The sequence below is a fragment of the Homo sapiens genome, chromosome 2 (assembly GCF_000001405.40).
Source record: "Homo sapiens chromosome 2, GRCh38.p14 Primary Assembly".
In the NCBI taxonomy this organism is placed as follows: Eukaryota; Metazoa; Chordata; class Mammalia; order Primates; family Hominidae; genus Homo; species Homo sapiens.
Window position 1 is genome coordinate 191,778,469 of NC_000002.12, and position 14,135 is coordinate 191,792,603.

Here is a 14,135-nt window from a genome sequence, read left to right on the forward strand (position 1 = left end):
TGCATTTTAGAGAGTGGACACAGGAAATACGTAAGTACACAAATAAGGTAACGGTGAGAGGTGCTATAAAATAAAAATGAAATAATGAATGAAATAAGAAGTGACAGGATTGGGAGAAGTTACCTTAAAATGGATAGGTCAGGGAAGACTTCTCTGAAGTGAAATTTGATGTGAAACCAGAAGGAGAAGGATCTAGCCGTGTGATGGCCTAGGGAGAGGGAGCTGCAAGGCCATTGATAAAACAGGCTTGCTGGATGGCCAGGAAGGCTAGTGTGGCAGAATAGTCATGGTCAGCGGTGAGAATGATAATAATTGAGGGCAGAGACAGATGGAAGTGAGATCACATGGGTTCTTGAAGATTATGGCTACATTTTGGATTTTATTCTAAATGCAATGGGACACCATTGGGGGGTTTTATGCAGAGGAGTGATGTTATCTACATTACATTTCAGAAAGAACACCTAGGCTGCTGTGTGGAGAAGGAACTGTTGAGTGTGGAGGGAAAATACACAAATTAGGGAGATCTCTTGGAATTTACTGCAGCTAATCAGGACTAGGGTGGTAGCAGCAGAGATGGAAGTTAATTCTCGAGTGACAGCAAGTCACAGGTGAAGGGCTTTGCATTCCCTCAGTCTGAGGATTTGAAATTTATTCTGGAGGCTGAAAAGAAAGTAAAAAGTATTTACTGATTTAGATTTTTCTATACTAGGAGAGGGGGTCACTAACAATAAAGTTTTATTTGTCTCACAGATGCTCTAGTCTGAGGAATCAAAAAAGCATATATCCATCTAAAGGTGAGCTGTCGATTTTCTTGTTGGAATGTGGATATTCTAATAAAAAAAGAAGCTGAATATTTCCTGATTTTTAAAGATGGCAACTAATTTAAAACAGTAACACACTGTGTAGGCCAACACAAAATGTATTAGTAGGCCGGTTTCAACCCTGGGGCCACCACCTTGCAACGTCTGAAATGAAGTATTCACCAGCAACCCACAGGAAGGCTTGCTTTGGCTAATCTATGGTCAAGACAGAAACAAATTTCAACACCGTGAAAACTGGGACTCATTGGAGATGGCATAGAGGCAGAAAAGACTGAGCGAGTTGTGGAAAAGGCTGAGCAGGAAGAGGAAGCAGAAGAATGGTAGAAGGATGTTCAGTGAGGTATGTGGTATAGGCTGATGATGATGGGCTGAAAAAATTAGAGAAACATTCTACACACTTATCAGGACTCCATGAGTGTTTGTGGTGATCTGACAGTAAGGCCATTTTCTTTGTGGTAACAAATTGTACCTGCATCTTTCCAAACACTACAGGTAAATCTAAGGGGTTGTACAATCTGGAAGTGATATAGACATAAGTTAACTTTGAAACTAAAAAAAAAAAAATTCAGTTTCCCAATTGAAATCTCTTCCTCATTTAAACTGGACTTCCCATTGGTCTGCTGGCCCATACTGCTGGACACATCAATTTATAGTGGTGCTCCCATCAGCTGAGTATACAGTTTTGATTATGGATAATATTTAGAAATCAATCTGTTAGGTGCTCTTTTGTGACATCTTTGCATTATAATATTTGACAACGATGAATTAACTTCAGTTTTTTGTATATTTATTTTGTCTTCCTAAATACTGAGTAATCTTGAAGGCTGAAGGCCTTAGCATATTCTCCTTGTATCCAGCAGGGTTTGGCATGAAACCCTGTAGCTACCCCTAAAATGTTTCCTATCTACAAGATAACAAAACACGAAGTTGAAAAGGAAAGAGTCAAAGGTAGCCAACTGCATTGTCGAGTCCAAAAACCTATTTGATTTTTTTCCCCTACTGGATTGAGAATTGATTTTTTTTTCAAAAACTTAATTGATGGCTATTTTGTCATTGCCCAGACACAGCTTCTGTGTTATGGAAACCAAGAATACCTCTATCCAAAACAGAAGATGGTAGTAATTCTCAATCCTGAAATTAACCCATGCCACTTAATTAGCAAGTATTTAATGAAAACTTTTTTTTTTTTCGCCAACCAATCTCTATAATTGTGGCTGTTTCGTGGCTCTGTGTCTACTATAGATACAGCATCACCATTTGGATCAAGGATCATCAGAGAGAGACATAGCCAAGGAAATATGCAGTTGCAGAGCACAGAGAAAAGAGACATTGTCTTTCTTTTTCTTCCCCACAGTACGTTACTAGCTAAAAGAGAACTGCCTTGCAGTCTAGTCAGAGAAATGATTAAAAAAACCTCTAGCAGGTATTTGAAACTAAATCTTAGTATGACATAGAAAACAATGATGTAGACTTTTTAAATCTTTTAATCTTTATTAATTTAATCTAAATTAAATAAGTATAAATTAATCTATTATAAAGTTCTAGGGTACATGTGCACAACGTGCAGGTTTGTTACATATGTAAACATCTGCCATGTTGGTTTGCTGCACCCGTCAACTTGACATTTACATTAGGTATTTCTCCTAATGCTATCCCTCCCCCAGACCCCCACCCCACAACAGGCCCTGGTGTGTGATGTTCCCTGCCCTGTGTCCATGTGCTTTCATTGTTCAACTCCCACCTATGAGTGAGAACATGTGGTGTTTGGTTTTTCTGTCCTTGTGATAGTTTGCTGAGAATGATGGTTTCCAGCTTCATCCATGTCCCTGCAAAGGACATGAACTCATCCTTTTTTATGGCTGCGTAGTATTCCATGGTGTATATGTGCCACATTTTCTTTATCCAGTCTACCATTGATGGACATTTGGGTTAGTTCCAAGTCTTTGCTATTGTGAATAGTGCTTCAATAAACATACGTGTGCATGTGTCTTTATAGCAGAATGATTTATAGTCCTTTGGGTATATACCCAGTAATGGGATCACTAGGTCAAATGGTATTTCTAGTTCTAGATCCTTGAGGAATTGCCACACTGCTTTCCACAATGGTGGAACTAATTTACACTCCCAACAGTGTAAAAGCCTTCCTATTTCTTCACAACAATGATGTAGAGTTTCAACAAGAATAGGCAACATACCAGGTACTACTCTGTCAAGGTCCTATTGGAAAGCATTCACTGTATATCATAAATATGTCTTGGGAATTATTTAGTCATAAGCCTCTTGGAACCATGGGAAACATAAGGAAAAAACCATGTAATCCCTACTCTTGAGGTCTTCAAAATTTAGTGGGGGAAAAAGACTCCCTAAGTAATAGAAGTAATATAAGTAATAGTATTATAAGATGTTATGTAATATAAGTAATGTAAGTAATAGTAATATAAGATGTTATGTAATATAATTAATGTAAGTAATAGTAATATAAGATGTTATGATTTCAATGACACTAAATACACAGTGAAGAAATGAAGGGGAGGATTAATCTAGTTGGGAAAATCTGAGAATCTAATAGAGAATTTAGGATTTGATCAGAGCTGGAAGAGTGAGTGCTCACAGGAAGGAGGTGAAGGGAAAAATTTCCAGATAAGAGGACTAGATGAACAAAGGCGCAGAGTAGGAAAGTGCTGTGTACCCTTAAGGATTGCAGATTGGCCCAGATGGCTTGAGGGGAGCATTTCTGTCTGTGGTGTGTTGGGGACAAGAGGGTGGAATGTAAGTGGGCATTAAGGCCAAGAGTAGAAGCAGCCTCTTCTTCGTGCTACTCCATGGTGCTCTACAGAGTTTGTTATGTGTCTTCACTGAATTGTAGCATGGTGTTTGTTGATGTGTCTGCCTCCCAGCTAGATGAGAACTTTTTCTGGGACAATCATATTTTATTCTTTTTCCCCCTTAATACCAATAAACGCTTAATATTCTTGGTACTTTTCATTTTCATAGCCTTGGTGTTTACATGAATGCCTAGAAAATGAGGCCCTTTATAAATGTTAAATCTGATAAGCAGGGAACCCAGCTACGTACGGTTTTGTAAGCCAGGCAAGGGAGTTTGGGTTTGGTCCTGTATGCAGTGAGGAGCCTCCGAAACTTTTTAAGACGGGAAATTCTATGATCAGAGCCGTGCTTTGTGAAGATAACATAAATAACAGCATGGAGGAGAACAACTCAGAGAAGAAAAGCCCAAGGCAAGGACACCTGTCAGCAGTTGTCACGAGCATCTCAGTGAGGGGTGCAGAGCCTGGACAAAGGGGGCAGAGGCTGTGGGAGTAGAAAGAGGAATAAACTCATTTAGATCTGGCAACATTTGGATGCAGACAATGTAGAAAATGAAAGCGAGGGCTTGGGGTTGCAGTTATCTATCAAACTCGGGTTACTTGAAAACCTTTCAGCCAGTTTGCCACTTCTATGTAATTAAATAGGCTGTCTTGATTCTCTAATATCTCTCTCATTAATGAAGTCTGGCATGAAACGTGAGCCTTCAGAAAAAAAGGTAGACAAAACCAACAGCTTGATACTATCCCCAAATTATTGTGATTAATAAAAACATTTTTTTAAACAGAGACAGGGTCTCTCTACATTGCCCAGTTTGAGGCTAGATTAAAACTCCTGGCTGAAGCAATCCTCTACCTCAGCCTTCCTTCCAGGTATCTGGGAATGCAGGCACGCGCCGCCACACCCAGCTGATGAAAACTTATGAGGAGTCTTGAATACTGGAGCCAGTCGTATGAACCATGAAGGTCCCCAAAGAGAGGATTAGGGGTTAGTAAACACAGTGGCTCCCGTCAAATTTTTCAGATAAGAAATTAAAGTATCAATTACGTCTAGAAATTCTGCTTACTGGTTTGGGGTTTGTCTTCAAAATAACAAGTTCACACACCTAGATTCAATAATGTCTTTAAAGTATTTGCCTATTTGAGGTTTGTGATGATGAGGAGGCATATGCTGACTGCTTTAAAGGAATTCTATTTTTTTCTCAACTTGAAAAGTTTTGCATGAAATCAGTGAACTGTACTTCACGATAAATTGTTTTCCTCTAGTAAGGAAATATTTTGGCTGCTGTCATCAGCATCATGCTTACATGAACTGAAAGGGAGCATTCATAGCACATGTATACAGTAACTTGTCAAATTTCTTGTCCATATATTGAATGAACCATTATCTTTCTCAACACCAGCACCAAATAGATCCATTATTAGACATCACCCTAATGCTACCACAGGAATGTACCATTGTAATATCTGTGAAGGGTGAGAAATACCTCTTTTTTAAAAAGTGGCTGGAGAAATATCACAAAAGGAGAAGTGAGAACCTGACACTGGGTCAACATGTTGACTGTACTTGCTCTTGGCCAGATGAATTTTTTTTCCTTTTTTAATTTTTATTTTAGGAAAGGGAACAAATGAAAAACTGAGATCTTGGAAAGTCTTTTCTCATTCCTAGTTTATGTATACTTAATATATTAGTCTTCTCATGAGTACATTTACATATTAGGTGAAGATAGTTAGGGAAATGTGGTTAATTTAAATACATTAACTCTTGAAGGTAATAACTTGTGGATGGAGTGTTCTCCCCACCAGAATCTCTCAGATCCTACGTCATGGGCACATAGACAACTGCAAATTTCACCTATATTTTTTAAAACTTGCCTGATTGGTATTTGAAAAAGGTTTCATGAATTAATTAAAGTAAATTTACAAATCAAAGATATAAACTATGGGTGCTACTTAATAGAAATGTAGTGCAAATTACACATGTAATTTAAAATGTTCTGGTAACCACACTGAAAAGGTAAAAAGAAAAAAGGTGAAATTAATTTTAATGATATAGTTTATTTAACTCAATAAATCACAATATTGTTTCAACATGTTATCAATATAGAAATCGTTAATGATGTCTTTTATAGTCTTATTTTTGTATTATGCCTTTGAAACCCAGTATGTATTTTATACTTATAGCAAGTCTCAATTCATACTAGTTAGATTTCAAGTGCTCAGTAGCCATCTGTGCTTAGTGGCTACTGTGTTGGGCAGCATAGCTATGGATGATTGGAAATTCAACTTTGTGTATTCTCTAATAATGTGTGGCAGAAGTAAAACTAATTCTTTGTCAGTAGAGTGAGACACGTGACCATTAATTTGCATTTGACTAAATGACATTCTTTACTCCTCCTCCTACTCACACTCTGTATGAAATCTGGCACTTTACTGAAGTTCTAACTAGCTACTGATTTTTGCAGTGTTCATCACTATTTGGTAAATGTGTCATGGTATAGTATTTATCATACTCTTAAATTACATTTGAAGTAGAATAATCAAGTCTATTTTTCATTAACACTGATTTTCTCCAGCACTTTATTAGTTCTATTAGCTCCCTATAATCTGCAAAACTCAGTAATTTTTTAGATGTTCCTCAAGCAACATTCTCAGATTGAGTTAAGATCTGCTTCTAGTTCCCATTACCATGATAATTTTGGCTCCCTCGCTCCTATTTCTCTTTCTACTCTTGCTCCTCTTCTTTTTGTTTCATGGCCAGTCCTCACTGCTGCTCTCCTCCCTTTATGGCCATCGAAAGCCCAATTTTAACTTAGGCAATAATGTGCCCAGTTCCACTGGGATGAATAATGATTGGTCCAAGCCAGTTATTATGATATGATTCTACTTTGTCAGAGATTGGGACAGAGGCTCTCAAAACTTAGTGTGCATCAGAATCACCTGGAGAACTTGTTGCAGTCCAGAATTCTAGGCCCTAACTCTGGAGTCTCTAATTCAGTGTGTTTGGGTCAGATCTGATAATTTGCATTTTAATCAAATTTCCAGGTGAGGATGATGCTGGTCTGGGAACTGCACTTTAACAACCATTGGTGTAGGATATAGACATGTGGTTCATTTTGGTCAATGAGTTGTGAGAGATACTTGGCAAAGTTTGTCCTTCCTGATAAGAAGGCAACTAGGTAATAAAGACATTATTTCCTTCTCTCTCTCTCCTTGCTTCCTGCTTTAGATGTTGCCATGCAAGGGCAAGGTTATTAGAGCTGCTGCAGCCATCTTGTGACAATAAAAGAGAACCAAGAGGATTTCAGAAATACCATCCCACATCCTGACATTATGTAGCTTCTGAACCATCTATCTCCATGGATCTTGCTATGTGAGGTAATTTGAAAAATCTTTTTTTTAAAATTATTATACTTTAGTTCTGGGGTACATGTGCAGAACATGAGGTTTGTTACATAGGTATACACGTGCCATGGTGGTTTGCTGCACCCATCGACCGTCATTTACATTAGGTATTTCTCCTAATGCTGGCCCTCCCCTAGCCCCTCACTCCCTGACAGGCCCCCACGTGTGATGTTCCCCTCCTGGTGTCCACGTGTTCTCATTGTTCAACTCCCACTTATGAGTGAGAACATAGTGTGTTTGGCTTTCTGTTCTTGTGTTAGTTTGCTGAGAATGATGGTTTCCAGCTTCATCCATGTCCCTGCAAAGGGCATGAACTCATCCTTTTTTATGGCTGCATAGTATTCCATGGTGTATTTGTGCCACATTTTCTTTATCCAGTCTTTCATTGATGGGCATTTGGGTTGTTTCCAAGTGTTTGCTATTGTGAATAGTGCCGCAATAAACATACATGTGCATGTGTCTTTATAGTAGAATGATTTGTAATCCTTTGGGTAGCCACCATGTCTTACTATTTTCTGTTGTTTGCAGCCAAAGTGTTCACTACAGATACAGTGACCAACTGTCTGAAACCGCCATGCCACCCTCTTGCATGATTGAAATGGTGACATAGACTTAATGTCTTCACAGAATTGTGGTACTCAAATCATAATGCCTTTCCTTAAAATAATGCGAAGTATTTTTCTGATATACATGCCATATCTGTGTATGGTATACCAAGGCTAAGAAGTTACAGAAAGCTGTGTAAACAGAATGCTTCTGCGAGTAGGCTGAATCTCAGCAAGCTGACATAGTGTACCTAGATTGCTGTTTCATGGGCTAGAGTTAAACTATGGAGGACATGCTAATCACGTGTGCTGATGACACATAACTGGAAAGACTGGAGAATGTGTGAGGTATCCAGGATTCTCTAGTGGGAAGGAAATATTGCTTATTCCAGGTACTTCAGAGAAAAGAACTGGTACTAATGGGCAGAATTTATAAAGAGGCACATTTTTGCTTTCTATAAGGAGACACATTTTCCAGCAACTAGAGCATGTGCATAAGCTTTCACCATGAAATGGTAAGCTCTGCATTACTTTACTGTTCATTGGGAAATTGAGAGCACACTTGCAGCTCTTGTGGTTTTATCTTTCAGCAAAAAGCATCACAACAAACTAAAAATTTCCCATAACATATATTAGGTTTAAGCATATGAAAATGCTGCTACTCAATCATTTTTGACTTACAAAAATGGCAATTTCATGTGATTCAATCTAATGGAAATAGAATAATACCCTGGAGTAGAATATGAAATCTATTTTAGATCACTGATTGGAAGGGCAACCCTTAAGCTGTTGCCATCCATCTTTATGTAGGCAGTGTGGGTTGCATAAACCACAAAGTTGTATTTTGTTCCTGGAAACTGCTAAGAAGACTTGATAAGAGAAGAGCTGCTATTCTAAGAATGAGCTTTTCTTCCAACTCGATCAGTTTATTTTTTTTTCTTTTTGGGGTTGGGGGAGGTGGCACCTCCTTCAAAAGTAAGGATATATCTCCAGAATATCTTAGTTTTTGTTTTTGTTTCTGTGTGGCTTTTTTTTTTTCCCAGGAAGCCGCTGTTTATTTTGAATCTGTGTTACTTTGTTGGGAAATTAGCTTCCTACTTTTACAATCAGGGAAGTGGCTGCACTTTCTTCTATTGGCTCTATTTACTCTTTCAAGTATCTTGGGGATCTTCTAAATTTTAGCATTTTGGGATATTTTTCTGTTTTATCCATGATGTTTATAGTTTTCTACACTATTAATATGTATATTCTTGACCTCTAGCTTTCTGGAATTTGAAAGTCTCAATCTCTTTAATTTGGTCCCTACTGTTGTCCTGATATTTTTAGTTGTCTTTCATGGGCATTTTAAGTTCTAGCTATACAGACACCACTCTATTCTCTTTACTTTCACTCTGTAGTGGCTACTCTTGCTCCTTCAGATCTAAAGAGCATCCTTGACTTCTCCTACACTAGGTTAGGCACACTTGCAATGAACTCCCAGAGCAAAATATACTTCCCAGATCATAATGCTTTCCTACTATCTGTTTTTTTTTTTAATTTTACAAATACTTGATAGCACTTTTTTATGTGCTGGACACTTCTTTAAGGGCATTACAGTATTAAGTTATTTGACCTTCACAACAAATATCTGAGGTAGAACCATTACTGTCTCGATCTTATCAATGAGGCTAATGAGGTACAGTGAGGTTAATCAACTTTCCTAAGATTTCAGCTAATCAATGAGGGGGCAGGATTTGAACCAGGGTGTCTGGCTCCTGACGTCCTCTTTCCCAGCCTGTTTGCCACCACATCCAGCTGGCTCTTACTTTATGCTGATTGCCTGTTTAATGGTAATGTCATAGGCCCCCTTTCTCTCTAGCCATCATGTCTATCTCAACCACTGTCTGCCTCCATGAGATGGAGACTTTGTTCCCTGTTGAATTCTAGTACCTTCTAAGACAATGTTTAACACTTAGTTGGTGATCAAAAACCATTTTTTTTAATAAATGAACACACATATGTTTCTGTAAACAGTCAAGGATGGTAATATTTCTAAGAAGAATGAAATAACTGCAACATCTTTTAAGTGCAAGTCAAATGTGAACCAGCTATACTGGAGGAAAAGGGAACTTACCCTGACAAGCAGTATTTTGAAAATTTCAAATGTCTAAAAAAGATTAAAGCTAAAGGGGATTTCATGGTCGGTATCAGACAGTTCAATTTGAAGCAAAGCTGTTGCTATTCAAACTCTCACCACTTCCAGCCACAGGAAAAAGCAGACGGTTGTGAAAGCTTGCAGGCTAGAAGGAAATTCTAATTTTTTGGAATGCCCTGAAGAAGGAGGTAGAGTTGTAGACTCTGACTACTTTACTATAAGACTGATAACCCTGAAAAAATATAAAAAACACATAAAAGAGGGCACGAGCCTGATTAGAGGACCAAGTTGGAGCTGTGTTATCACAGGTCCTCAAGAAATCAGCAGGGCCAGAAATGAGGCAGGCTGCAGGCAATTACAGATTGTCATTAAAGTTAAAAACATGACCCACAGCACTGTTGCTGTATCGCTTTAGGCTACTAAAGCTCCATGCTGTCAGTTATGACACAAAGCACGGGAAAGGACAGTCAGAATTCTATGCTATTTCTGCATTTTTTAACAAAAGTAAAAATTTGTACAATTCTCTACAATTAAAATAAGTAAGCATGGACTGATTTTTAGAGAAAGACAGGAAACAGAGCAGAGGTATTATATCTACTTGAAAAATCGCATTCAAAGGCTACTTCCTCATTGTTTGGGTTTGGGTAGTAATATAATCAGCAACAAGGATGATTTCGTCCAACTGGTTCTTCTTTGACAGTTTTCTAAGTCAAGAATTGCAGAAAATAGACAATGTTGGTATTGTGTCTGATGAATTAAAAAAATGAGTGAGGATTATAACCAAGTAAATAACACTTCAAGTAGGTGTTTAAAGTAATGTGTGGAAAAAAATCACAACAATAGAAAGGCTTAGATGAAAGAAGATTGAATTCTGAATGAGGGCAGAAGGATTAAGTGAATGTCAAGAAGAACATCCCAGTATGGATCCATTCCTTGCACAACAATTGAACCCCTTACTTCACAATGTGGTAGAGCTTAATTTAACTTAAGAGGGGTAAACGTGCTAAATGGAAATGATTTGGTAAAGAAGGAAGGATTTTTAATGCCAAGGACAAAGCAATTTGTAATTTGATTTTTAATCTGCAGACGGTAGGTAGTATCAAGTCATCAAACAGTGCAAAGAATAGGCCACTAATTGAAACAGAACGTGGAGATGTTAATGAAATTGATTAGAAGTGACAAAGCAGCTGGATTTGTCAGCATTTCAGCAGATGGAATAGCTCTGATTGATGAAATGACAAGGCTCTGAAACAAAACTGAAAATTAAATGTACAGCCAGATAGTCCTGGCACCAAAAATGTACAATTGCATAAAATTTCAGGAGCAAACTATAAAGAGATCTGGAGAAATGCTCCCAAATGATTTACAGAATACAATTATTTATCACTTGGCTCAAATCTGCAACTTCAGATGACTGGTAGAAGTTTGAGAGTTGGTGTAGCAAAGTACTTGATGCCATTGCTTGGGTTAGATGGCAGTATCACACGTAACAGGACTGCTTTAGAATGACTGTCACTTCATTCTAATTTTGCAACCACTACTCCATAGTCTTTCTTATATTACATGAATGCCACGTTTTCCTAACTGTGTTCCTTAAAGCACTAGGGACCCCATGAGACGCTAAAAGACTCCGTGAAAAGAGTTTTTGGTCAAATAAGTATATTGTAAGTATGAGTCACTCTTAGAGAGTCTCAACACACATTAGCATAGCAAAGGCAAAGTCTGTGGTAAAGTGGGAATTTCCTAAGCTCCCATGCCTACTTAAATGAATTTTTAAGAAGTATCTATAGTATTTCGGAAGGACTATTGCTCTTTGGAGTGAAGTTTGGAAAATATTACCTTGGTAGCTCAAAAGCACTTATTGGCCAAGCACTTTACTTACTGCATTCTGGAAGAATGACTTCAGCCCTGAAAAGAATCCACCTTTCCATGAAGCAGTTTGCATTACAGTTGAGACTTCAAATATGTTTGAATGTATTTGGAAAGACGTTGCCTTGCTCTTTCTGCTTATGTTTGTGCAGATCACAGACTCATTTTCTGTCGATGATCATAGACAGGCTGCAGTTCTGTTATGCTGAGAGTATTTGTCTAGTGCCTAGTTTCTATTTCAGGTGGAAATTCTGGGTAAGGAAAATGACTCTAGTCACAAGTGCAAGTTGTGTGGTACATAGGAGCATCTCTTTAAGTTCTCTTTTAAAAAAACGAGACATCTGATTACATCGAATGTTATTTCCTTCTCTTTACACTATTATTTTTAAAGTTAAAGCACTGGTCTGAAAGGAAGCTGGGAATATTTCCCTATATTCATAGAATAAAGCCAATTTTGAATTACTTTAATTTAGAAAGTAACAACGTATGTGCCACAGGACATTTTTGGAGGGTGGGTCTCGAGGGATGAAATTAAGCAATGATTGTTTCAGACATATTTTTAAACGTTGGGAATTCAGTGAGCACTGAAACAGTTCTCAAGAGAACCATTTCAGAATTTAAAGGAATGTTCTACAACTCAGTTAAAACCACTGCATCTTCTGTCTCCTTAACTCTCTGTGATCCATTTACACAAGGCAACCCTGAAAATCATGATTTTGTGAAATATTTAGCTAAGGGTGCATCTTTTACAACTCTTTATTTGGGCATTTTAACCATGACTGTTTACAGACCTGTGACACAGTCTCATAGAAGACCGCACTGTTTGGATTCCTAGGATCTCTCTATTCTGTCTGCATCAGCCTGATTGCAGCATATCTTCTCCTATTTCATAGCAAACTCACTCACTGTCCTAGTTTTAGACATTTTATCTATAAGTGAACACTCTGTTTTTGAAGTGATTACTTCTGCTGTCCTGATTTTTCCCAAGGCTTTAATCTCAACAATTAAAGTTGAGATTGAGAGTAAAGCAATCAGAAGTATACTCTTAAGAAAGAATATCTCAGGAATGGGATTTAGTTAATGAAATATTTTCTTTGGTTTCAATTTTCTTATAAAAGAGAGTTTTTCCTGTATTTCTTATAATTAGGATAGATCTTATCTTTCCGATATGACTGGATATAGTTTATACAATGTCAGCAGTATCTTTCATTGGTGGTTTTATTTATTTATGAAGTTTTACTGGCAGAACCAGGAAGAATGCTTCACCTTGGGCTTGTTGGGACTAATTCATGGATAGCCATTTGGAGGGAATAAGAACACTGAAATTTTGGATACTTATACTACTTAAATTTGTGCTCATTTCAACTCTGTCTTCTGGGCAGGAGTGAGACAAACACAGTTTGATCAAGTTGTTCATTTGTTTCACATTCCTTTTTCGTATAAGAGAGCAAGAAGGAAAGTGGGAGGGAGATGAAAGGCAGACATTTGAACGCTAATTTACATGCGTTTCCAAGATCTTTAAATTTCTAAAGCTGAGCTATGATTTACGTATACATCAAAGTTCAAGACATTGCTTGGCTTTAAGAAGTACAGATTGTCATTGGCTAAAATGGCAAGAAAAGCGGACCCAATTTAGGATAGAATCTGTCTTATGCTCTGGTGGGCAAGTCTTCACCAGACTCTCCCCTGAGGCTTGGGGAGCAGAATAGTGGCACACTATTGGTTACTGCCTCCAGAGACTGTGAGATCCTCATTGAGACTCCAGTAACTGTAGCATGTCATTGGTTACTGCCACCAAGAAATGTCGGATGTCCATCTCAGTGATCCTGTTGGGGACTGACCCTTTGGGGATGGTCAGTTGTTTTCGTTTGTCTTGGGAAATTACACACTCTGGATGGCTTAATAAAAAACAACCCAAATATAAAGATCACAATAGAATATATGTCTCTACAAATACAGTTTTCCAAAACCCAGAACTGAATGACTTTAGAGTTGTAGGGCATGTCAGGACAGAGTCAGTGTCTGGTGTCCTGAGACTGCCTAAGCAGGGACATTTCTCTTGGTATGTGACAAGCTGTCACTAGAAAGTGAACCGTTCCCCTTTATTGGTTTCTAAGAGTTTGGCCCTTTAGAGAGTTTCCTTATCTAATTGAGCTTTTGGTGACATATTTTATTCTCTCAACAACTTTCACAGGATGAAATATTATCTTAACTAGGTCAGCCAGACCTTCCATGAACTAACTCTTTCTTGCTGGATACTTTTATCTTAGGGAATGACTGGAATCCTGAAACCTGATTCTGCTCTGCTGTGGAAAGAATGAGCACCTCATATATACCATCCTCACATCTTGGGCAGCGGGTTGCTAAAAACCATAGCTGTGTGCCATGTAAAAACTCGAGGCATGGTGAAGTAGAACTAGCAGTTTTGGAGTATTTTGGAAAGACTGGTTCACTTGATTTCTGTACAAGTCTTCCTCACTTTCTTTAACCATAGGAACTGCATATTTTCAGGTTTGAAAGATCCTTAAATCAGCTTATA

The 14,135-nt window shown here is 38.0% G+C and overlaps 1 long non-coding RNA gene across 1 annotated transcript; it reads left to right on the plus strand.

Moving 5' to 3' along the window:
- The first annotated feature begins 725 nt into the window (after positions 1–725).
- On the plus strand, positions 726–13,985 carry LOC105373812 (uncharacterized). The gene is made up of 3 exons (XR_923718.3): positions 726–1,161; positions 6,873–7,021; positions 13,867–13,985. It is a non-coding gene; the product is annotated as an uncharacterized LOC105373812 (long non-coding RNA).
- The last annotated feature ends 150 nt before the right edge of the window (positions 13,986–14,135 follow it).